Source organism: Homo sapiens, chromosome 2 (genome assembly GCF_000001405.40).
Source record: "Homo sapiens chromosome 2, GRCh38.p14 Primary Assembly".
Classification (NCBI taxonomy): domain Eukaryota; kingdom Metazoa; phylum Chordata; class Mammalia; order Primates; family Hominidae; genus Homo; species Homo sapiens.
In genome coordinates this window covers 41,977,881-42,002,099 of record NC_000002.12, presented here as the reverse complement: position 1 = coordinate 42,002,099, position 24,219 = coordinate 41,977,881, and the positions used below count along the sequence as shown (strand labels likewise).

Here is a 24,219-nt window from a genome sequence, read left to right as displayed (position 1 = left end):
CGTGGGTCCTACTCTTCCCTGGGCCTACAGACCCCTGGGTTCACCTTTCCTTGGCTCCCCGCTCTGCACTTTGTCGGGAGGTCACGTGTGAGGAAACAAGCCCCACGTGGTTTTAATCATTTTGCTATAAAAGCTGAGCTGCTCTCCGCTTTGATCCAGGCTGAACTGCTGGAGGAAGGGCTGGGGCTGAGCTGGCCTGTCCGCGGAGTGCTCCGCACACAGCTCCCACATCAGACGGCAGCCGTAAAATGGAGCACAGCTCGTTAATTCTCCCTCTTAACCAGGGCACCTGACAAGAAGTGACTTTGAAAACCCGGAGGACGGATGGGCGGGTGGGCGGCTCTTGGTCTAGGCAAGGAACATCTGTTTCCAGGTCCCTGGCTGTTAAATTGACATCTTTTTATTTGAAAAGTTTCTTTTATTTCCCAACTTCCTGCAATTGGCAAGGTCTCTGTGCCAGGGAACAGAGAGTCATGGTTTTGCAGACAATACCAGCTGAGTGGCATCACTGTCCTGCAGGACAGACGTACAAGTGCCAAGGTAGGATGTCTGGTGCTTTGTCAATTGTTAAACCTATGTTTGTGCAGAGAACATCAAACCCCATTTTAAAAAAAGCAAAAATGGCCTTGAAATTGAAAACCCTGTGAACGTTGTGAGCCTCCATCTGAGAAATATTAACGTTTCTGAGCTAGAAAATTCACGGGAAGCCTGTTGTGTTCCATTGAGTGTTCTCTTCCTGGGCTCAGCAGTCAAGTTTCCTTAGCAAGAATGACCCACATGCCTGCTGTCTGCAGCGTTCATCCTGTTTGGTGATCAAAGACCCCAACTTTGACCTTTAAGCCCTAATGGCAGAAGCCACTAGCAAAGGCTGGGTTGGCTCTTCTCAAGGTGAGAGCCCAAGACCCTTAGGATGGGAGACTGAAAGTGATGGGTGGAAGATTCTTTTATCTCTACTGTTTCTGGGAGCCTTTGGATCATCTTGTGTTCCTGGCCATCTGATCCATGTGCTTTATCCTGCATCCTTTAGGATCCACCCTTGGCTAGGTGGATCATTGTCAGTAGGACAGACAACAGTCAGTATTTGAGAAACAAAGGCATGGCAGAATCCCAAGGGATCATCAAGAGATAACTGCATCTCATATCCCCCTCAGCGTGCACGTGTGTGTGTGCATGTGTGTGTACATGTGGTGCCAGAAGATGTGAGTGTGAATGTTGGCGCATCTGTGTGAATGCATTGGTGCCATAGTGTTTCTGAAGCATGTGTCTGTGAAGTGAGTAGATGAGTGCATAAAATATCTTTGTCAGAACATGCTTCTGTGTGTTAAGGTGCATGAGGAACCACTGGGACGAAGTGGCGGTGTGCACTTGTGGGATGTGCATGAGAACGCGCATTTCCTCATAATCATGTTTCCTGAAAGTGATGGAACTATCCTTCCTGGTTCTGCTTTAGCAGTGATTGAACACTCATGCCTCTCAATTTTCAAGGCCTCTCATATTCCCATCCCCATCTCTTTGAAGCCTCCATCAAAATTATAGTCTGTCCAGTCAGATTGCCTGGGTCTATCTCTTTCTAGACTTGGCGAGTTGCTTAGCTCTCTACACCTTAGTTTCCTTATTTGTATAAGGGCAACATAGTACTAGATTGGAGAATCCATGAAATAATTCATGTAAAGCAACTTGAAATTGCCTGGCACAGAGTAAGCATTTGGTTAGATGTCATCAGTACCACCCTTTGTCACTTCTGTCACTCCTACCTCTTATCTCAAATCATGTCCTTCCATTGTGCTTTGGTAGTCTTCCATTCTCTCCCATCTCCCTTCATCACATTATCAACCCTCATCAAGTTAATGACCCTAGCACCTTCACCACTGCTGCTGCACACCGCCTTTCTAATCTAGACGACCAAATTAGGGAGTTCCCAGAAGGGTGAGACCAGCAGAGTGTGACCCTGCCAAGATGGGTCAGTTGAGTGGCAGAATCAGAATGTAGAGACTCCTTGATTTCTCAGTGTTTCGAGGGCAGATCAAGAACAGGAGAGTGAAAGTAGGAAGGGAGCCACCCAAAATGGCCCCTGTAGCATGCTTGCTCTCCCCTTCTCCCATCCCCTCTTTGGACTTGGCTCGGGGTGAGGAGGGAGGCCGTGGGGCAAGGCTATGCCTGTTATCAGCTTGGGACATCCAAGAAAGAAGTCAATGTGCTGGTCACTTTGGCTTTTCCATTCCAATATGAATATATTAAAATGCAACATTCCAGCTGTGCAAATCCCCAAGCCCTTAAAATAAAAGGTTTTTAACTTTAACCATTAAAGATTTAACTAGCCAATAAATCTAAGTATGTGGGGGGTTGTTAGCAAACGTTTATTATATTGCTCTTGCTTTTAACTTAAGAGAAAATGGCAAGTACGGACTTCCATGAAAAAGACATTCCCTTGTGCTCAAAAACGGATGTCAAACCCCAACCAAAAAAAGCAAGAGGTGGCTGTTTCCGGAAGGATCCACTCACTTTCCTCCAAATCTCTTTAGGAGTTAAAACGGCTATATCTGTTTTACAAACCAATTTGCTTGCTACAAAAAAATAAAATCAAATAATAATAATAAAAAAAGCCTGTAATAGCCTCTCGTTGCCACAGTCAGAACATGACTGACTAAATTAATCCAAAAGTCTACTTGCAGTTTGAGCATCTTGGCGCCAACTTTTCTAGAACTAGATTTTATAAAGGCACAAAGGGGATATAGCTTTGGTGAAGAAATCACAAGATCTTTCTCTTTTAGTATCTTCTGGGTGAGTTGGGTAATCCATGTCTTGGATTATAGTGCTTAGCTTTGCCATTTTTACATTTAAGGCAAGCAAGCAGCAAGCCATCTGCCCAGTAGTGAAATATGGCTTTTAATTTACACAAATGTAAAAGTATAGAAGTTAACAATCATATTCACCCTGGACTTAAAAAATGAATAGAAGCCAGATAAATCTTGGCCATTAAAGAAAAAAAAAAAAAAAAGATCTGACGTACATGTTGAGTTATACCAGCCAGCACGGGGACAGAGCCGCATTCCAGATGTGCTATTTTCCTGCCCATTGACAGCTCTCCAGCCCACTCCAGTAGTAAAAAAGTCCTGAAGTGGATTTTTTTAATCTGGTGTAGACTCCTTTTTGCCCGTGAGGCCTGCTGGGTGGGTCCGCTGGGTTTCATTTCTCACAGAAGGAACCAGTGAGCCCTGTTTGTGGGAAATACACAGTAAATCCTGGCCTTTGCTCAGGAAACCTCCCTCTGGAGCATTTTTCACGTCTAAATAGGAGCTGAATAAAGTTGATAAGCGGTTGTATTTTTTTTTAAGTGATTGTACTTTTCACTCAAAGCCGTTTAGCTCAAAGATTTTGTGCTCTTAGAGGCCTTACCCTCTGCTCCCTAAATTAGAAGCCAGAGTAGCATGACGATGGTAAAGCACATCCACAGCCTGTTCAAATTGCAGGGGACACCTACATTTTCCTTTTGAGTAGCAACCCGTCTCCCTGGCCTCAGTAGAGGAAGGGCTGATTCCAGAGTTGCCTCTGCTCGTATGATACATTTCCTCCATTCCCCTGCAGCTGCCTAGATGGAAATGTGACTCCCAGGGTTCTGGGGTGCGGAAGTATTTCCCTTGGAGGTCCCTAGCATTGTCCTTTGATGTGAGTGTGACAGGGAAGGGCTAAGCTTGCTAAATTTTAAGTCTCCTCCATGGATTGGGAGGTGGAGGCACTGGAAGAGTTATTTTCAAACCAGCCTGGAATATAAGGGAAGCTGTGGCCGATTTGCTGGAGGCAAAGCCAGAAACTTCAAAGACCTGTTTTCAGCCTCTAAACAGCAAGGATATTCAACACGTGGGGGAGGCACAGGGTGGTCCCTGCCAGCTTCTCCCCAGGGAGTTTCCAAGCGGACTTTGCTGTCCCTTCTGCCTTCTCTAATTTTCAAATCCCAGATGGTTGAACTCTGGAGAGAGACAAAGCAAGAGACAGACTCCTCAATTATTATTAGAATGCTTTGCTTCCTGAATGATAGGCTGCTTTGAAAGGAAAAAATTTTATTTGGATCCCTAGTACCTGTGGAACTGTACATGGCAGTGCTGTTTTTTGGGGGAATAATCTTGGTGTTCTTGGAGAAAAGGCACCCGCACTTCCTGTCAGAAGGATTACAGTTGTTTAGAAACTGCTCATTCCATTTGTTCATTCATCCATTCATATATTAGCTCATTCATTCATTCAATAAATATTTCTGGATACTTCCTATGTGTCTTACTCTCTGCTTGGTTCAGGGCTGTAGGCAGAACAGGACCCAATGCCTGGGTAGACAGCCAGAGCCCTCTGGAATGAGAAAAGTAATCCTTGACTCTAACCCTAGAGATTACTAAGTGGGCCTGTCCTCTCTGAGTGTTCAAAACAGAAGAGTCTTGCACGTTAGAGGTCGATTAGTCCTTCGGCTTTGGTTGTCCCCTTGAGTTTTTCACTGCTCTATTTCAGATCTCCCTACTGTCCATAACTCCAACTCCATGATCTCCTCCATATTCAATCCCTGCTTTTAGAGAAGGCAGGCAATGTTGGCTCCGCCTCCCCGGTAGCTTCAACCCCCCTGCTCCCACCAATGCCCTCCCACCCACAATCCCAGCCACAGTGTCAAAGTGGATCCCTCCTATTTCCCTCTTGATCCCTCTGCTCTCACCTTTTCCAGAACCCCCCGTACCACAAAATTCCTCTCTCTTGCATCTGCTCAGTCTCTCCTCCGACCAGGACTTCAGAGGCCTGTCCCCATGCTGTGGGCTTTCCCCTCCAAGGTTCAGCATGGCCAGTCTCTTGGTGGCTACGACCTCCGACTGAGGGAAGGGACAGACTCCATCTGCACGAGCTGGGATCATTCCCTCTCCCGCCATGACACGGGCCCCAACACTTTCTCCCGCTGCTGCTTTTTCCCTTCCCCTTCTGAAAGTAGCCATTTAAAAAGGTCGAAATGGGCTTCATGAGGTTTAAGGGGTTTATTAGTTTGAAAAGCCATGTCCCCTGTTTGGAGGAAGGGGAAACAGCCGCCTTCTTTTCACATTACGTCAATCCGCAGGCGTCTGTAATTTACATTTTTTTAACTCAAATGTTCAGAAATAATGGAAAGGCTGCTTGAAAAAAACAGATGAAATAAAAACTGGGGGAAATGTGTATTATACAAAAACCAGACCTGTGAGCCTGAGGCGAGACGTGCCGATGACCTGGGGAGCTGATTAATGAGGCAAACCAAAGGAAGCCCAGGTGAGCGTGGATGCCACGCTTTCTTCACAGTTGCTGACACCCACGGGCTGGCATTTCATTTCCCACACACAACTTCATGGATGGTTTTCACTGGGAAATTTTAGAGCCATTCATATTTCAACCCTAGGAGAAAAGACCCCTGAGCTGTGGAAGTTGGGCAGATGGGGGAATGTGGAGAAAGGACTTGGAGGTCAATAGCACCCTGCTGGGTCCCAGCTTCAGTTTCTCTTAGTCCTCAGAGTCAATCTTTTCTGATCCAGCCTTGCCTTATTTAGTCCCTTCTTCAGTTTCTCCTCTTTTTCTCTGCCGCATTCTCTGAGAAAAAAGGAGATGAGGGTCAAATGGTTAAGGCCACAGTAAGATGTATTAACAGTTTTATTTTCTGACAACCTTCTAAGATAATCAATTAAAAGAAAGACCCAACTTCTAATTACAAATCAAATAATTGCTTACAAAATAACTTATTCTACTTCTGCATATAGTTTTTTTTCCCCATATAATATGTCTCTAAATGCTGCATCATTTAACATTCCTTTGGCAGATATTTTAAGCACATACCATATGCCAAGGACAGTATTTTTTTTTTCCATTCTATAAAAAAGTATATTTTTATATGTTGAGATACAAGCTTTTTAAAATTTATTTATTTATTTTTATTGATCATTCTTGGGTGTTTCTCACAGAGGGGGATTTGGCAGGGTCATAGGACAATAGTGGAGGGAAGGTCAGCAGATAAACAAGTGAACAAAGGTCTCTGGTTTTCCTAGGCAGAGGACCCTGAGGCCTTCCGCAGTGTTTGTGTCCCTGGGTACTTGAGATTAGGGAGTGGTGATGACTCTTAACCAGCATGCTGCCTTCAAGCATCTGTTTAACAAAGCACGTCTTGCACTGCCCTTAATCCATTTAACCCTGAGTGGACACAGCACATGTTTCAGAGAGCACAGGGTTGGGGTGTAAGGTCACAGATCAACAGGATCCCAAGGCAGAATAATTTTTCTTAGTACAGAACAAAATGAAAAGTCTCCCATGTCTACTCCTTTCCACACAGACACGGCAACCATCCGATTTCTCAATCTTTTCCCCACCTTTCCCCCCTTTCTATTCCACAAAACCACCATTGTCATCATGGCCCGTTCTCAATGAGCTGTTGGGCACACCTCCCAGACGGGGTGGTGGCCGGGCAGAGGGGCTCCTCACTTCCCAGTAGGGGCGGCCGGGCAGAGGCGCCCCTCACCTCCCGGACGGGGTCGCGGCCGGGCAGAGACGCTCCTCACATCCCAGACGGGGCGGCGGGGCAAAGGCGCTCCCCACATCTCAGACGATGGGCAGCCGGGCAGAGATGCTCCTCACTTCCTAGACGGGGTGGCGGCCGGGTAGAGGCTGCACTCTGGGCACTTTGGGAGGCCAAGGCAGGCGTCTGGGAGGTGGAGGTTGTAGCGAGCCGAGATCACGCCACTGCCCTCCAGCCTGGGCACCATTGAGCACTGAGTGAACCAGACACCGTCTGCAATCCCGGCACCTCGGGAGGCCGAGGCTGGCGGATCACTCGCGGTTAGGAGCTGGAGACCAGCCCGGCCAACACAGCGAAACCCCGTCTCCACCAAAAAAATACGAAAACCAGTCAGGCGTGGCGGCGCGCGCCTGCAATCGCAGGCACTCGGCAGGCTGAGGCAGGAGAATCAGGCAGGGAGGTTGCAGTGAGCCGAGATGGCAGCAGTATAGTCCAGCTTTGGCTCGGCATCAGAGGGAGACCCTGTAAAGAGAGGGAGAGGGAGACCGTGGGGAGTGGGAGACCGTGGGGAGTGGGAGATCGTGGGGAGAGGGAGAGGGAGAGGGAGCGCCAAGGACAGTATTGACTTAGGGGATCCAAGGAGACCAAAACAGACACGGTCTATGCTGCCTACTTTGGTGGGGACAGCAGGTTAGATACAGTGGTCAGTGCAAAGTGACGAGGTCTCTGATAGCAGGAGTAGCAGGTATTAGAGCGGCACATGTAGGAGTGGAGGGGTGGGGACGAGGGGGCTAGGAAGGGTACCTAGGAGAAGTGACTTTAGGTGCTGGCAGAAAGAGTAGGAATGAGCTAGGTGAAGAGGCTCTGGAAGGAATGATTCCAGCCAGTGGGGAGACTGTGCTTGGGCCCAGAGGTAGAGGGTATTGTGAACACATGTTCTGTTGACTGCAACTGGCAGGAGATGGACCTGGAGGGGGTAGTCAGGGACCCAACCAGGCAGCCTGTTTCCAAGGAGCTTAGACTGAATCCTGTGGGCAATGCGAGGCCTCTGGCAGGTTTAAGCAGCGGAGTTTACAACTCTTGGAATCACTTCCGTACAGTGATGCAAGTGGCTTGAGAAATCATTTGATAAAGTTGAAATCAGATGATAAAGTTGAGGCCCAGGGAGGTAAATACAGTCACGCCTCTTACTACAATTGTTACCAGCTGATGTTAATTGAGAGCTTACAGACGCCAGCACTGTGCCTGGTGATTCATATGCCTCAGCTCACTCACCCTCACCACAACCCTCTGGGGGAAGTACTAATGTCCCCATTTTTCAGATGAGGAAACTGAGGTCCAGAAAGATGAAGTAACCTGCCTTAGGCCACTCAGCTAGCAAGGGTTGAAGCCAGTATTTGAACTAGGTCTGTCTGGCTTCATAATCTGTGCTTTCCCAAGTTTCCAGAATTCATAGTAGGGCTGGAAATTAAATCCAGGCCTCCTGATATTGGCCTGCACCAGCACATTAGCTGCTGCATCGCATGTACCAGGCCTGCTTGCTCTCTTAGAAAGTGGGCGACCACCCTCACATCATCTTCTCTGCTTCTATTGACCATGTCTGCGTGGACTCCGTGGACTTTATCGTCATCGCCAACACCTCTGAATATACCATTTTTACATTGTATTCATTTATCGCTGGTTATGTATTTCAGAAAGACAGTCACATACATGAAGTGTCACTGTTCTGAGGACACGAAATGGACTCTAAGAAAGCTGGAGGCGGGACATTCCAAGGAATAGGTTAAACAGTTTTGCGGGATTCCTGAATCAGTTGGCCAAGGACTTGGGCTCAGGTGGCAGGGCTAGCTCCTTTCAGCCCAAGCTTGTGAGCTGGCCTGTCTCTCCTGAGTTCAGCAGTCTTCAGGGCTGTGACCTCCCAGGGCCTTGCCATGGTAGGGCCAGCTGTCCACCCTGGGACTGTCACCTTCAGGTTCTGTGGGGGCCCACGGCTGCCAAGCCTGGGGAAGCCTCAGGCACTTGTCATTGCTTCCCAAGTAATGACCTCCTGGCCTGGCCACATCTCAGCTAATTTCTGCAATTAGGGGGGCTTGTTTTCAGAGGCTGAAACAGGAACTTTTCTGAATTAGCTTTTATGGTTCAGAGCCTTTAATTTGAGATTTAAAAAACATCATAGCTCACCAAAACCAAATAAACTGCAGCTAATGAAATTCGCAGAAGTTCTCAGAGAATGCTTCTCACTGGTGCTCCTGGATGATTTATTGACAGCTGGTTGTAAAAACAATCTTATTAAAGGTCATAATGTAGGGTAAGAAAAAAGCCCTTTAATTTATAGCATAATTAGGCTTCGCCCAATAGCTCTGCTGCCAGGGCTGTCACTTAGGGCTCCGAGGAAGCACTTGGTGTTTTTCATTATATCACAGTGAAGGAGCGCCATGCTCCTAGAGGGCCCACTGACTTGGTCTTTATGGCCCTTTTATTGCTGCTAAAATAGTCAAAATAGGGGGTTGATTAGAGCCGACTGATGCCTACTGATTATGGGAACACCTCTTGTGCGGGGAGGGAGAAAAGATGGGAGGGGGCTCAGGACTTCAGGACGTGCCTCCGACAGGAAGAGATGGGCCGTGAAACATGCTGGGGAAGTGTGACATGGCCTCTAGGCTCTTCCCCAGACACTGTGTGGATTGAAGGCTGACCCCAGGCAGGCGGGGCTGGGGTGAGAAAGAGGAAGGGAAGGTGCTAATGCCTCAAGGAAGAGGACAATCCCAGGGCACGATGTGTATGGGAATAAGAACCTTAAAAATGCTAATGCGTCCCAAGGTGGAGCACAGCTCTCAGCCTGGTGGTGGGGAAACAGCCCCAAAGAGTAGAAGGTCTTGCTTGCTGCTGCCTTCTTGCAGAAAGAGAAGGGAGGACTCAGTATTGGTGTATTATGGTGGGGGAGGGGGACGTGGGCAAGTCCTGGTCTCTGGAAGCTTAGCCTGGGGACAGAGTCAAGTTCCTAAGCATGATATTGGAATGGGAGCTGCCCCCAGGGCTGTGCTTGTGTGTGAAGGTGCCTGGGAGGGGTGGGAGTTTGTGTGTGGGGGTGTCACACAACCTCAGCAGAGCATCAGGGATGACTAACGATGGCCAAACCCAACAGGTATTGTGACAGGGAAGGGGTGGGTGGCTCTGAAGTTATGCTGGTATTCCATTTGGCCTGGGCATGGCCTGGAGCTGACCTGACACTAGAAGGTTGTGGGAATAGTGGGGCTTTAGCAGCCCCAAGGATTGGGCTGCTGCTTCAGAGTGCACCTTACAGATGTTGGAGTGAGTGCTCTAGGGTGCATCTGGGGCCATCCCTTCCCCTCCCTTCCCCTCTCTTTCCCTCCCTTTCCCTCCCTTCCCCTCCTCTCCCCTACCCTCTCCTCCCCTGCCCTCCCCTTCTCCCTTATTCCTTTCTCCTGCCCTCCCCTTCCCTTCTTGCCCCTTCCTCTCTCCTCTCCTCCACTCCCCTTCTCCCCCACTTTCCCTCCCCTGCCCAACTCCTCCCCTCTCCTCCCCTCCCCTGCCAACCTCCTCCCTTCCCCTCCCCTCCCCTCTCCCCTCCCCTCTCCTGCCTTCCTCTTCCCCTCCCCTACCCTGCCCTCCCCCTCCTCTTCTCCCTCCCCTCCCTCCCTTCCCCTCCTCCTCTCCCCTCCCCTTCCCCTTCTCCCTCCTTTCCCCCTTGCTCCTCCCCTCTGCTTATCTGCCCTCCTCCTCCCTCCTTCCCCTCCTCACCCCCTTCCCCCTCCTCGGCCCCTCCCCTCCCCTTCCCTCTCTTCCCCTCCCCTCCCCTCCCCTCCCTCTCCTGAGATTTATCAGCTGCTCAGTCTACCTACCATTCTGCATGGAACTGGTGAGCACATCTCAGTCTCCTGACACCTGCTCAACCTTCAGAGGGCTGAGAAATCAGATTTCTGGCTCCTTGAAGCCAAAGGTCAGACCTAGGCTTGTGGCTCTCACTAATGGGTGCATGCCGTGGAGATGCAGCTAGTCTTTCATGCTCCTCTTCCTCCTTTCCCTCCCACTCCTCCTTTTGGAGTTGTGTGCAAAAGGTTTACTGGGGAGTAATATTGTGAAAAGAAAAAGGGAGAAATGGGAGAATCGGGCAGGGACCTTGAGACCACCATGCAGATCTGACAAAGTCTCTCCTGCCTCTTCTCACAAGGTCGTTGGCTTCCCTCCAACAAGTGGGACAAGCAGAAAGGATCACTGGGTGCTGTAGAGCTGAGCTGGGAGAGCCTTGTATTAGAACATTTGCTGAGGGGCTCCCTTAGATGTTTTTCCCCCTTAACTCCAACTCTAGCCAGTGGAGGAGAGGGTGAGACTTGCTCCTTGGACCGAAGTCCATAGTGGAGGCATTCAAAGTTCATGCAGTGAACATTACTGAGCACCTGCTATGTGCCAGGCACTGAGCAGGAAGATGGGCTTACAGAAATGAACTTAGGAAGTTTCCAGGTTGAGGCAGAGGTGGAGGAGAGGCATGATGTAATTAATCACATTACAGTATGGTAAATGCCACAGCTAACTTTACACAGGAGCTAAGGGAGTACAAAGGAAGGAGGAGATAACTGCTTCGTGTGTGTTTAGCAGTTACTGCATGTGTGACAGCGTGTTGTAGGAATGTGTGTGTGTGTGGTGAGTGCATTGCATGTGAGTGTGTAGTCTGTGTAAGTATATGTCAGTGTGATGTGATGTGGATATATGGGTGTGTGAGTGGGAGTATCTGTGGATGATTGTGTATTCCAGTTTGCAAGTTGTGCGTGATGCTGTGGTGTGTGGGGGTGTGTGAGAGTGCGTGTGGGGGTGTGTGAGAGTGCATGTGGGTATGTTTCAGGGATGTGTTGTAGGAATGACCTCAGGGACCACAGCAGCCTTTGCAGAAGGTGTAAGTGCCCCAAGGGAAGGGATGGCATCTGCTGTGCTGGAACCCAGGGCCTAACACAGTGCCAGACATAGGAGATGATCAATAACCCTTTTCTGAATGAACAGCTGCCTCCCCTTTTCTGGAGTGCAGGAAACAGAATCTGTTCTGTTACCATCAGCTGTGGCCTTGACTTCCTTTCAGGAGGCTTTGTCCTCTTGGACAAAGTAAGAGAGCCGTATTTTTTTTTTCTTTCAGATGTTAGTAGCTGAAACTTGAGGGTAAAGGGATAAATTCTTGAAACAATTTAAGTCCTAGTAATGTCCTGCCTCTTTAAATGAGCGTCACTCAAGTCAAGGGTTGTAGTTCGTTTTACTTGGCGTCTATACACTTTTTGTACTTTCTAAATCTTCTAAATTTTTTGAGTCTGAGAAAGGAGTTATTAAAAAAGGAATCTGACTTTTCCATGTGCACTTGTGCTGTAATTGTGTAAAAGCTCTTGAGGTGCTGCCTTGGACCCTTGGGTTGAATTCAGACTGCTTGCCTTCCCCCACCCCCACCCCATTTTCCTGTCCCAACCCGCTGTTTCTCCTTCTGGCCCTGATGGCTCCTGCCATTCTGCCTTTGGGCTTTGTGTCTCAGCCTCTGTTATTTCTCTTCTGTTTGATTGACAGCCCATTTTGGTGTCACATTTCTAGGCTGACCTCTGCCTTCTCCAGCAGAGTGCAACTCTGGGACTTACCCTGGGGCCTCACGCTCTGAGCCAGGCTCAGGAGCCCTCATTTACCCTACGGGCCACAGGCTGGGCACCCAGCACCAGCCTTCCAGGCTCAGGAGGAGGCTGAACAGTAAGAATTAAACATGCTGGTGTCTCTTTTAAAAATCTAGCTTCTCCCTTTGTATTCTCCTGTCTGTGACACAGTACCCCCTTCCTCTCTCTGCTTAGAACTGGCAATTATTCATCATTTATAAATTGAAGATAATCCCATTTCCTGATGACTCCTGCAGATCAGGGGTTGGAGGAGAAGAGTTTCTTAAGAACTTCCATCCCTGTCTACTATTCACAGAGGAAATAACTCAAATGCCTCTATTTCTCAACTATGAACTTCTAAGGTCTGGTTCTTTCCAAAGAGATTTCTGTGTATTAAATCCTTTCATAATGGCAGTAGTCTTCTATCAGATTTTAAACCCAAAGGACAATTGTTCCAGGTACATTTCAAGCTACATATGGCAGACAGCTGTCGGTCAAGACCACCAGACTGTGGGGCAGCAGCACTTCTCTCCCCAGAGACCATTCCTTTCTGTGTTTCCTTTGACCTGGGGTGAAGTTGGAATCGGAGCTAAAATTAGGGCTGAGAGGCAATCTAGGATTTATTGGAGTGGATGTTGGTGTTGAAGTTATTTTAGTTATTTTATTCAGGGTGAGCATCGGGTTAGGGAGGCTGGGGACTTGGATTCAGATTGCTATGGTATTAAAGCACAGTGGGTAAGGGTCCGGTAAGGTTAGGGTTAGGTTGGATTAGGGTTCCATGCAAGGCTGGGGTCAGTGTGTGGTTGCTGTTGGGGTCAGCATTAGGGCTGGATCAGGTGCTTTGCTGGACTGTTGGATGCTCATTGGTGGGGAAACTCCATCTGGGGATTTTGCCACCTGATAGGGTTTGGCTGTGTCCCCACCTAAATCTCACCTTGAACTGTAGTTCCCATAATCCCCAAGTCTTGTGGGAGGGATCTGGTGGGGGGTAATTTAATCATGGAAGCTGTTACCCTCATGCTGTTCTCGGGATAGTGAGTTCTCACAAGATCCGATGATTTTATAAGGTGCTTTCCCCCATTTTGCTTGGCATTCTCCTTCCTGCTACCATGTGAACAAGGAGGTGTTTGCTTCCCCTTCCCCCATGATTGTAAGTTTCCTGAGGCCTCCCTAGCCCTGTGGAACTGTGAGTCAATTAAGCCTCTTTCCTTTATAAATTACCCAGTCTCGGGCAGTTCTTTATAGCAGCATGAGAAAGGACTAACACACCACTCCTCAATGTACATTCTCATGGAGCCAAACCCTTGGTCCTGCCATGCAGTTTTAGGCTGAATGAGGCAAGGGCATGCTGTTTTCCCTCTGGGGTTTGGGGTTTAGGTGCCACGTATTAACTCGTGGGAAGCTTGGCAAGACCCATCCTTGGGGTTCATCTCTTCTGGCTCCCACAGAGGCAGGCAGGCGGGTGAAGGCAGCAGAGGGTTCAGATGTTTGTCTATCCTCCTCCACTGCCAGGAAGTTAGGGTAAGACTAAAGGACTTAGTCTCAGGATCTGAGGCACACAGTGGGCCTGCTGGGTCCCCGTGAGCGTTAATGGCCAGACACAAACTCCTCCTGTCCTTGTACCTGGTGCCCGGATGACCAGTTTGCTCTCTTCAAGCACTTTGAAGAAGTAGCTGAGAATGGCAATAAACTGATTCCGGTCCTCTGTCTCTGTGAAGGGCTAGACAGGCAGCATCTCAGTGCCTTTATGGGCTATTTCTGCAGAAGGACAGCAGGCAGACCCAGATAAAGAGCCCACATGCCCGCAGCCCATTGCCTACCACTGCAGACATCGCCATGGCCTGAATGCTGCCCCTTGGGCTTCTGCTCTTGCCAAGCCCACTGTTCCCCACACTCTAGTCACACCGATGCTACCCTAAGCACCAACCCCAGATGCCTCCATAGCTTTGTGGATGCCACTCATCAGCCTGGAATGTCCCCTCACATGCATCTACAGGGTCCCCTCATCTCCCAGATCCAGCCCTTGTGACACTGCATTGCATGTCTTTGTTTATGGATTAAATGTAGGGACAGTGTCTTGTTCATACCGTATCCCCAGAACCTGGCACAGGGACTGGAAGAGAGTGGATGCAAGGTCAATGTCAGTTAAAAGATGGAAGAGCAGGAAAGACCAGGCCCTCAGGCTAATGCAGTTACATGTATTTTATTAGGACTTAGGTCTTTTTATAGAGCATCTTCAGCTCCTCCATACTTCAAACATCTCTATGCATTTTTATTTGCTCCCGTTTTTTCACTAGTATTGAATTCAGTAAACCTAGCAAGTAACCATATCTAGGTGGTGTGGGAGTATGCAACACTCCAAAGTACATTACAGCTGCAAAGTTGGAAGCTTAAAATGCCTCCTCAACATCACTGACAAACAGAACACATAGATAGAGGGAACCTTTCCTATTTCCCCTAGCCATGCCTTGGCTTTCTGACGAAACTTGACTCCTAGTAAGTTTTATTTATTTATTTTCCTTTAAGAGCTAATATTTATTGTACCCTTAGTATACCTAGAAACTGTTTTAGGCTCTTTTCCCCCATGTATTAATTCATATAATCTGTTCAACAACCCTGTGAAATAAGTACAATTATTATACCTATTTTACAGATGAGGAAACTGAGGACCAGAGAAAACAACTAGTTTTCCAGAGCTCTCACCATTGGTATGTGGCAGAACAAGGATTCAAAGCTAGATGATGTGGCTCCATAGTCCATGCTCTTACTGTTCCTTTCTACTGCTTCCTAAAATATCTCTCAAATTCATGCCTCCTTTTCTCTTCCAGTAGATACCATTTAAACCCTCTTTTTTTGTATTTTTATTTCTATTATGTTCTGAATTGATCTCCCTAGGCATATTCCATCCTTTTTCTTTCTTTCTGGGCACTATAGTCAGGATGACCACTGTGAAAGGATAAATGTCATTCCCCTGTCCCCCGCCCCATTGTGGTGGCTTAGAGATGATGCCTGCAACATCTTCGACATTCTACACATGGGAGTTGGGTTCTAATTCCCTCCCTTGATCCGGGATCGCCTTACTGACTCGCTTGGCCAGTAGCACGCAGTGGAAGTCAATGTCTGGAACTTTCAAGGTAGGTCATACATGACTTTGAAGCTTCCACCCGGGTCTCTTGGGATCCTCCCTCTGAGCCACCTCGTAGAAAGTTTGACTAACCTATTTATAGCAACATACTGGAGAAGCCATTCACATCAGTAGTTCTAAATGAGTCTGGCCCCCCAGCCATCAAGGCACCAGAAATGTAAGCAAAGCCAGCTTCGACCCTCCAAACTAGACCATTTACCATCTGATGCCATCGAATGACCTTCATGGAGACCATAGAAGACATGAATTGCCTAGCTGATCCCTTCACAAATTACCAGCCCACAAAGTTGGGGGATAAAATACAATGGTTACTGTTTCAAGTTGTAAAATGTTGAGATGGTTTGTTGTGCAGTGGTAGATAACTGGAACTTCATTATTTTTTCTTTCTCTCTTTCTCTCTCTCTCTTTCTTTCTTTCTAACTGATACAAGTTTTTGATATCATCACAAGGGATACAGTCATGAGCAAAACATATTCAACCTTGCCCTCAGGGGCTCTGGCATTAAACAATAATACAAATAAATATATTCTTTAAAAGGTATAAGTCATCAGTGCTGCCAAAGTAAAAAGTGCCAAGAGAAACATTAATGGGGAGTCAAATTAGGTTTCCGTAAGGCAGTAATAGTTGAGCTGAGACTTGAAGGATTTAGTTGGATATAGGACTGGGGAAAGGGGTAGGAGAGCATTCTGGGCTGAGGGAAGAGCTGGTATGATGGTCCTAAAGGCTGGAAGTTGCTCGATGCTTTGGGGCCCATGTGGCTGGAGTAGAGTGAGGAGAAGTAGCCAGAAATGAGGCTTGACGTGAGGGACATGTGGCTGACTCTGGTGCACAACTCTCCATGCTGCATTGAAAGAGCTCCACATCTGTGTTCCCTACCACATGGGAGCTCCTTGAGGCCCTGTTCCAAAGTTTTAAGTGATACCTCATTCTAGAACAACAACAAAAAATACACATATTAAAGTAACATTAACCAGTTCCTTCAGGATCTGCCCCATGTCTAACTCTGTGGCCTTGTTCCCAGACATCTCCCTTCCAACTCTTGGCGCTTCTGCTATCCAGAACCACATCAGCTTCCTGAACAGACCAATGTCCACCTGCACCTGGGCCTCTGCATGTCTCTTTCCTCTGGTGGGTTGCCCTTCTTCTAGTGTTGCTTGGCTAACCTCTATGTTTTCTCAGACTTCTCAGCTGTCGCCTCCCACATGGCAAGTCCAGTGGCGCTGGGGGCCTATTTATCTGGGCTCCCATAGTCCCCATGCATCCCTCTGTGGTAGCGTAAGCCACAGGTGCATCATAATTGTGTCCTTGTTGATTATCTTTGGACTCTGAGCTCTTGTAGGAAGAAGTGCCTTTTATCCCCTTAGCTTCTTCCTTTAGAAGCTTTTGACAAAAGTTTATAAATGGAAAGGCCAATAATTCCAGCTTGATATTGTATACAAATTTAGTAAACATGCCATCAGTTTCATCCTCATCACTGATACAAAGTTTGAACAGGGCCGGGCACGCTGGTTCACACCTGTAATCCCAGCACTTTGGGAGGCCGAGGAGGGCGAATCACGAGGTAAGGAGATCGAGACCATCCTGGCTAACACGGTGAAACCCCGTCTCTACTAAAAAGTACAAAAAATTAGTTGGGTGTGGTGGTGGGCGCCTGTAGTCCCAGCTACTCAGGAGGCTGAGGCAGGAGAATGGCGTGAACCTGGGAGGCGGAGCTTGCAGTGAGCCGAGATGGTGCCACTGCACTCCAGCCTGGGTGACAGAGTGAGACTCCGTCTCAAAAAAAAAAAAAAAAAAAGTTTGAACAGAGTAGGACAAATGTGAACACGGAAGCATCTTTGAATCTTCAAATAATCCCTGTCATTTCTTCTTTCCTATTCTAAGAAATTTTATCAAGAGCAGAAATTCAGATGAACCATGTCCACTCTCTTCTCCTAATCCAGCAGTATAAACAGTCTATGAAAAAAAGTGAAATGAACTTGGCAGGACAGAGGAGCCTTTAAAGAACCCACTCTGTGTTCAAAGACCCTGTTGTTCCTTTCTAAGAACCCCAAATGATTTTTAAATCTGTTTTAAAATTTTTTTATACTGTTTAAAAATTTTTAAATCTGTTGAGGCTCAGGTGCCTGTCATGGTTTTCCCACATACCTAGGCTCTATTCCTCATTTTCCAGGGAGTGGCTGAAGATTTCTAAATCGAGAGGGATTCCTTTTGGCTTGAGTGCCGTGCTCAGAATCTGTCAGACCCTTCTCAGGAATGGGACAGCTGTGCACGAAGAGCTCATGAATCACACCCTGCTCCCATGGGCATCTCTTGATACCTTTTGATGAAGAGTGAAAAGCGTTTTGGAAAAAGCTAGCGATGGTTTATATGTAAAGGGAAGGTGGTGTGATAGGAAACAGTGAGAGATTGAGGAAAGAGCAAACCTTGAACTGGGAGTCTGAAGATCTGTGTGTTGGTTCTGACTCTTGCACCACCTTGCTGTATGACCTTGAGCAAGCCCTTATCACCCTCTGTCCTCAGTTTCACCACCTGTGAAAGGAAGGAATTAGAAGAGCTTTCCCAAGGATTGAATGTTTTTTTCCGCAAATAAAATCTTCTGCCTGTGGGTTTTAGCCATTTTAGGGGTCACAAACTTCTCTAGGAACCTGATGATACTGTGGAATCTTGCCCTGAAAATACCCAAACACACACACATGCACACACACACACACACACACACACACAATCTATTCTAGAATCTTGCCTGAGATTGATAGCCTACAGTTACCAGTAACTGCCTCTTCTGTTTGGACAAGTCCTAACCATGTCTGCTCAGCTATAGAATTCCAGCATCTCTCTCAACCTTCCTGATGCATTGAAGTTACCGATCTATTTCATCTACAGGTTCTCGGGGGTCCCTGGAATGTAAGACATGAGCCAAGGGATCCATGTTTAGAAAAGCCTCAGACTCAAGCAACCTTGTTACGTAACTCCAGCTTCTGAACCAACTGACAATATTTGCTCTTTCTGATTTTATATCTTTCCTAGAATATGGAAGCAAAATCGGATTTGACATCGTCCCCTTCCTTCCATGACCACTGATATCACTCCTCTGCTCCAATTACAGCCTCAAGAGTGGATCCACACCTTCCTTCTTCTAAGTGTAATTAAAGAGGCCCTTTGTGCCGCCTTCAGATTTTTTTTTCTTGTCCCAACTTTTCCTGTGCTCTTGTCTCCGTGGAACTATTCATACAGGTCAGTATCATTTTCCTTCTAGAAAATGAGTCCATTGGAAAGCCTCCCGGTTAGCCATAAAACTTGAGATCCCAGGGAAAGATGTGGTCTTTCTTGCTGGAGACTGACTCAGAGATTATTTTCATGAAGCCAAGGAGTTTAAGCTCAGAGCCCCTCCCTTGTTTAAATCCCCTCAAGGACCTGAGGGTAAGAACCCTAGTATTGTGTCCTAGGGGCGATATATTTTAGCAAAGTTACAGAAATCAGATAAAATATATATATATATATATATATATATATATATATATATATATATTTATTTATATATATATATATATATATATATTTATTTATTTATTTATATATATTTTTGGAGACAGTCTCTCTCTGTTGCCCAGGCTAGAGTACAGTGGCATGATCTCAGCTCACTGCAACCTCCGTCTCCTGGGTTCAAGCGATTCTTGTGCCTCAGCCTCCCAAGTAGCTGAGATTACAGATGTGCACCACCACGCCTGGCTAATTTTTGTTTTTTTAGTAGAGACAGGGTTTTGCCATGTTGGCCAGGCTGGTCTCAAACTCCTGACCTCAAGTGATCCACCAGCCTTGGCCTCCCAAAGGGTACAGGCATGAGCCACCACGCCTGGCCCAGAAGTCAGATATTTTAACCATGACCGCTAAGATGTCTGTCTCTTTCCACTCTGATTTCCTTGCCTTCACATTTCTGTTTGTGCTGAGTGGCCTTGGAGGGCCTTGGAGATTTGCTGGGATCCAGCTAAGCGGAAGTTGAGTGTGGGATGCTTTTAGTCTGGGTTTAGTGAGATGTATTTATGTGGCCTGCAGTCACTTTAATGGGTATTTAAGTTGTTGCTGGCCATCCACAATGGGAAGGGCTCGTGGGGCCTTCTCTGCACTACCTGGCATGGAGAGGTGCATGGCTGGAGGGCATTTCACATCATGAGTGTGTCTTTTTGCAACCCCATTTACCCAATATTTGGGTAGTAAAAGGGAGACCAGGTTTGGAATGTATAGAACTGGTATGAGTTTCTTTCCTAGGGCCATTGTAACAAATTACCACAAACTGAGTGACTTAAAACAACGGAAATACAATCTCTCATGGTTCTGGAGTCCAAGAGTCTGAAATCAATGTGTCGACAGGGCTGCACTCCTCTCAAAGGCTCTGGAGAAGAATCCTTCCTCTTCTCGTTCAGCATTTAGTGGCTCTAGGAGTTCATTGGTTCGTGGCTGTGTAGCTCCAATCTCTGCCTCCGTCTTCACATAGCTGTCTCCTCCACGTTCGTGCCTTCTCTTCTGTTTCTTCTAAAGATGCTGGTCATTAGATTTAGGGCTCACCTGGTAATCCAGGATGATCCCAAGATCCTTAATTACATCTGCAGAGACTCCTTTTCCAAATGAGATCAAATTCACATGTTGATGGAGTTAAGATGTGGACATACCATTTTGGGGGCTATCAGTCAACTCACTTCAGAACCATAAGCTAGTCCAGGAATTTTTTTTTTTCATTAGAAATGTAAAACTGTAAGTTATTGGTTCTTAACAATGCCAAGTCAAAATAAAAATTCTTTCCTTCCAGGAATATAGTCAATTATAAATGCATCAAACATTTTTTTTCTTGATGTGAAATATGATTTCATCAGAATTCATGTGTTTGTAGGGTAAAAATTTACAACAATCCTGCACACAGCTAGAATGCTTACCTATAAGGTCACATGTTTATGATTTTCAAGTTATCACTGAATCATATGAACAATATTAAATTTTGTGCTGGTTTGAGATGAAATACTGACAGTAAGACAATATAAAACTCATAATAAACTACAATGAGAACATCAACAAACTAATGACTATTGTCAATTAAATAATTTTTAGGATGAGTCACTGTGCAAGAAAACTTGACATGCCCTGAAATATTATAGCTCATACATGAAAGGACCTCAATAGTGGTTTTCCCAAATATGACAATCCTAAAAACGTATGTATTACCAATATTAAGTTATGAAGCTGAAAGAAATTCTTCTCAACCATCAATAATAGAAAACAAATTTTGTCCAAGCATGCTAGAAGAAAGTTATTTTTCTTTCCTTCCTTCCTTCCTTCCTTCCTTCCTTCCTTCCTTCCTTCCTTCCTTCCTTCCTTCCTTCCTTTCTTCTTCTTTTTTTTTTTTGGAGACAGAGTTTCACTCTTATTGCCCAGGCTAGAGTGCAATGGTGCGATATCGGCTCACTGCAACCTCCGCTTCCTGGGTTCAAGCGATGCTTCTGCCTCAGCCTCCAGAGTAGCTGGGATTACAGGCAAGCGCCACCATGCCCTGCTAGTTTTTGTATTTTCAGTAGAGACAAGGTTTCACTATGTTGGCCAGGCTGGTCTTGAACTCCTGACCTCAGGTGATCCACCCACCTTGGCCTCCCAAAGTGCTTGGATTACAGGCATAAGCCACTGTGCCTGGCCCGAGTTATTTTTCTATACCCTCTATAAAAAACGATACCACAAAACCTTTGATGTAAGAGGAATCCATAAAAGAGTACACAGCAAAACAAATACATTTTTCCCTGAAAGTATTATAGAGGTATGTCAGGAAGTTAATTAATAAACATGCCATTTTTCTGGGTTTTGTGATATTTATCAGCTTAAACATTTAAAAAATGTAATTTAAAAATGTTGTGAATGATTTCCTTATTCTAAAAAAATACACAGTCATATCTAATTTTGTATTTGTAAACTTGCCTTCTTTTTCTTAAAGACCACCCATCAGGTTATACCAACAACAGGCCCAAGTCATGAAACCTGGAGCAGCCTTGGGTTTGAATGCTTCCTTGATTTTATTTCACTGCCTCTGTGGGTGACTTGCCCTTCATCAACTAGCCCTTTTCTCCCTTGCCTCCTCCATCTTTCCTTCCCTCCTGGTTCCTTTGCACATATACACATTCAGCTTGCTCCCAACCCACGCACATTTCTGTCTTTGCAGTTACTTCTTCGTTGGCTATTCCTCTTGCTGCCCAAGAAAGACAGTCGCTGCCTCTGCTCTCTCATCCCACCCTGTCCCCATCCTATTAAAACTGCTCTTTGCAGGGTCACTCACATCTCCTTACTAATTGAAGCACCTGGGACAGCTTTGTCAGGTTGGGTTGACCAGCGTGCAATGGTTCGCTCACTCCTCATTCGGGGTCCATGCATACTCTTAGATCTCCTCCCCTTCATTGCATTTCAAGTGTTACTTGTTCAGCATCATTTTCCCCAAACACCAGATCCTAGCACACAGCACGGAAGGAAAGAGGAATAAATAAGAACCAAGTGCCCACTATGTTCCAATCCCTGTGCTTGGCATTTTCATATATTTTGTTGATTTTCATATACCTTCACTTAATCCTTGCAGCAACCTGGATATAGATCATATTAATTCCCACTTTTAACCAGTTGGAAAACAGAAGACCCAACCAATTGGGAAATAGAAGTTTCAGTAACTTGCTTAGGATTTCACTATTAAATGACATAGGGCCGTGTTTGGATTCAAGGCCTGCCTGTTTCACTTTCAAGTCCACACTTTGTCTGCTAAGCTTTTCTGTCTCTGGATTGCTTGGGGAGCAGGGACACAACTATCATTTTTCAAATAGAATTAACTGACAGGGCCGTCCTCTTAAAGCTCGTCCACTGACTTTGCTGATGCTATACTTTCCTGATTCTTCTGTCTCTCATTTCTTGCTGCCTTCTGTAGTTTCTTACTCTCAAATTCAGCTCTCTTCTGTCCATTCTCCCCCATGCCTCTGCTGTCTACTCAGATAGCTTCAGCAGTCATTTCTTGGAGGATGACTTCAACTGCAGAATTGCTAGTAGGCGCCAGGCGCGGTGGCTCACGCCTGTAATCCCAGCACTTTGGGAGGCTGAGGCAGGCAGATCGTGAGGTCAAGAGATCGAGACCATCCTGGCCAACATGGTGAAACCCCATCTCTACTAAAAATACAAAAATTATCTGGGCCTGGTGGCATGCATCTGTAGTCCCAGCTACTCAGGAGGCTGAGGCAGGAGAATCGCTTGAACCCGCGAGGCGGAGGTTGCAGTGAGCTGAGATCACGCCACTGTACTCCAGCCTGGTGACAGAGACTTCATCTCAAAAAAAAAAAAAAAAAAATTGCTGGTAAGATTTCCGGTCCAAGCTCCAGTCTTTCTTCTGTAACTGTCCACCCATAATCTTCTCTCCTCTCCAAACCATCTGCTCCTGAGTTCCCATTTTCCCAGTCACACATACTTTAAACCTGGGGAATGGGTGTCACCTTTGTCTGTTCCTCACCTATTTAGTTCATTCAACAAACATTATTGTGTAGGTATTCTGTGCCCTGCACTATGCTGGGCCCCAGAAATTCACTGATGAGCAAGACAGAGTCTTAATCCTCAGGGAGCAATATTCTAGTCATAGTCAATTGATACCAACTCTACTGTGTCCCATCCTTTGCCTTGTCACTGCTATTTTCCTTGTTCACGTTCTGGTTGGCCTGGTCTTATTGCCTATGGTCTCCATGCAGTTTCCTTCCTATTCTTTAAGGATAACAACAAATGATTATATTTTACCCTCTGTGCTGAGGACATTGTCTCTTTTATGGTTCCTTGGGAAACTTCTAGTCCCTTGGTATGATTTGGAGTTCATTCTGCGTCTGCTAGCCACTTCTAGGGTGGATTATTTATCCATCTTATGGTGAGTCTGGTGAGTTTCCATTTTAAAGGTTACACTGGCCCTAGGCATTGGCCAGTCTAAATTGCATTTATAAAGGATCCTCAATCGACGTTGATATGGTCTGACTGTGTCCCCACCCAAATCTCATCTTGAGTTGTAATCCCCATAATCCCCAGGTGTCGAGGGAGGGAACTGGTGGGAGGATGGATGGATCATGGGGGTGGTTTCCTCCATGATATTCTTGTGGTAATGAATGAGTTGTCATGAGGTCTGATGGTTTTAAAAGGGACTCTTTCCCCTTTGCTCTGTCTTCTCTCTCCTGCCACCATGTGAAGGAAGTCCTTGCTTCCCCTTTGCCTTCCACCATGATAGTAAGTTTCCTGAGGCCTCCCCAGCCAGGTGGAACTGTGAGTCAATTAAACCTCCTTCCTTTATAAATTACCCAGTCTCATGTATTTCTTTATGACAGTATGAGAGAGAATTAATACATGTCTACCTCCAGCTGTCTCTCTCCAGCAGAATTCTACCTATCCTTCAAGGCTCTGTTCAAGTACCTGCTCCACTGTGGATTCTTTCCAGATCATCCCCATGCCCAACTGAATGCCATTTTCCACTTGTGGAGCTTTCTGTTGGTGCCTCTGGTTTTCAGCAATTACTGCACTGTACTTTGTAATGTAGAATTATGTCCCCTACAAGAAGGCAAGCTCCTTGCAGGTAGGGGCTTCTCTTTGCTCATTTTTGACCTTCTGGCTATCGAGCATTGTGCCTTGCCCATAGCAGGTGCTAAACAAATGTTGGCGAGTTAATGTATTTTCTGTAGGTCTCCCTTTCTTTCCTATTTAGCTCTGTGTCTACTCTCTGGTTCTTCTTCTTGCCTTTGCTCTGGCGCCATTATTTCTGTTTCATCTCATCTTCACAGAATGTTAGCTTTAAGAGAACTTACAGATTCCCAAGTCGAATGTTTCCTGTACTAGGCTGATCATCAGAAATACCTGGTAGTTTTTAAAACTTATTTTTATGTAAAAAATTATATTGGAGG

At 46.3% G+C, this 24,219-nt stretch overlaps 1 long non-coding RNA gene across 3 annotated transcripts, besides 4 other annotated features; it reads left to right on the top strand.

Annotated features, from left to right (window-relative positions):
• Positions 5,822-6,488: an enhancer, noted in NCBI's record as "NANOG-H3K27ac hESC enhancer chr2:42222752-42223418 (GRCh37/hg19 assembly coordinates)". NCBI's record gives its function as "activates a minimal SCP1, AML or CMV promoter by ChIP-STARR-seq in primed H9 embryonic stem cells {active_cell/tissue: H9 hESC(primed)}" and the evidence as "EXISTENCE:reporter gene assay evidence [ECO:0000049][PMID:30033119]".
• Positions 8,196-8,593: a silencer, noted in NCBI's record as "fragment chr2:42220647-42221044 (GRCh37/hg19 assembly coordinates)". NCBI's record gives its function as "represses an EF-1alpha promoter that drives an FKBP-Casp9 reporter gene in an ReSE screen in HepG2 liver carcinoma cells {active_cell/tissue: HepG2}" and the evidence as "EXISTENCE:reporter gene assay evidence [ECO:0000049][PMID:32094911]".
• Positions 11,397-11,691: a silencer, noted in NCBI's record as "tiled region #7749; K562 Repressive non-DNase unmatched - State 21:Repr". NCBI's record gives its function as "represses a minimal TATA promoter and a strong SV40 promoter by Sharpr-MPRA in K562 cells {active_cell/tissue: K562}" and the evidence as "EXISTENCE:reporter gene assay evidence [ECO:0000049][PMID:27701403]".
• LOC105374517 (uncharacterized) lies at positions 13,420-18,744 on the top strand. 3 transcript variants are annotated; one of them, XR_940000.2, is made up of 3 exons: positions 13,420-14,846; positions 16,305-16,411; positions 18,390-18,744. It is a non-coding gene; the product is annotated as an uncharacterized LOC105374517 (long non-coding RNA). The 3 variants fall into 3 exon arrangements; XR_001739424.2 differs by having other exon boundaries at positions 14,792-14,846; positions 15,139-16,411; XR_001739425.1 differs by lacking the exon at positions 13,420-14,846 and adding an exon at positions 14,858-15,272.
• Positions 13,792-13,961: an enhancer, noted in NCBI's record as "experimental_58491 CRE fragment used in MPRA reporter constructs". NCBI's record gives its function as "activates a minimal promoter by MPRAs in K562 erythroleukemia cells, with activity observed for the non-introgressed 2:42215364 variant allele {active_cell/tissue: K562}" and the evidence as "EXISTENCE:reporter gene assay evidence [ECO:0000049][PMID:34662402]".
• Positions 18,745-24,219: the final 5,475 nt, after the last annotated feature.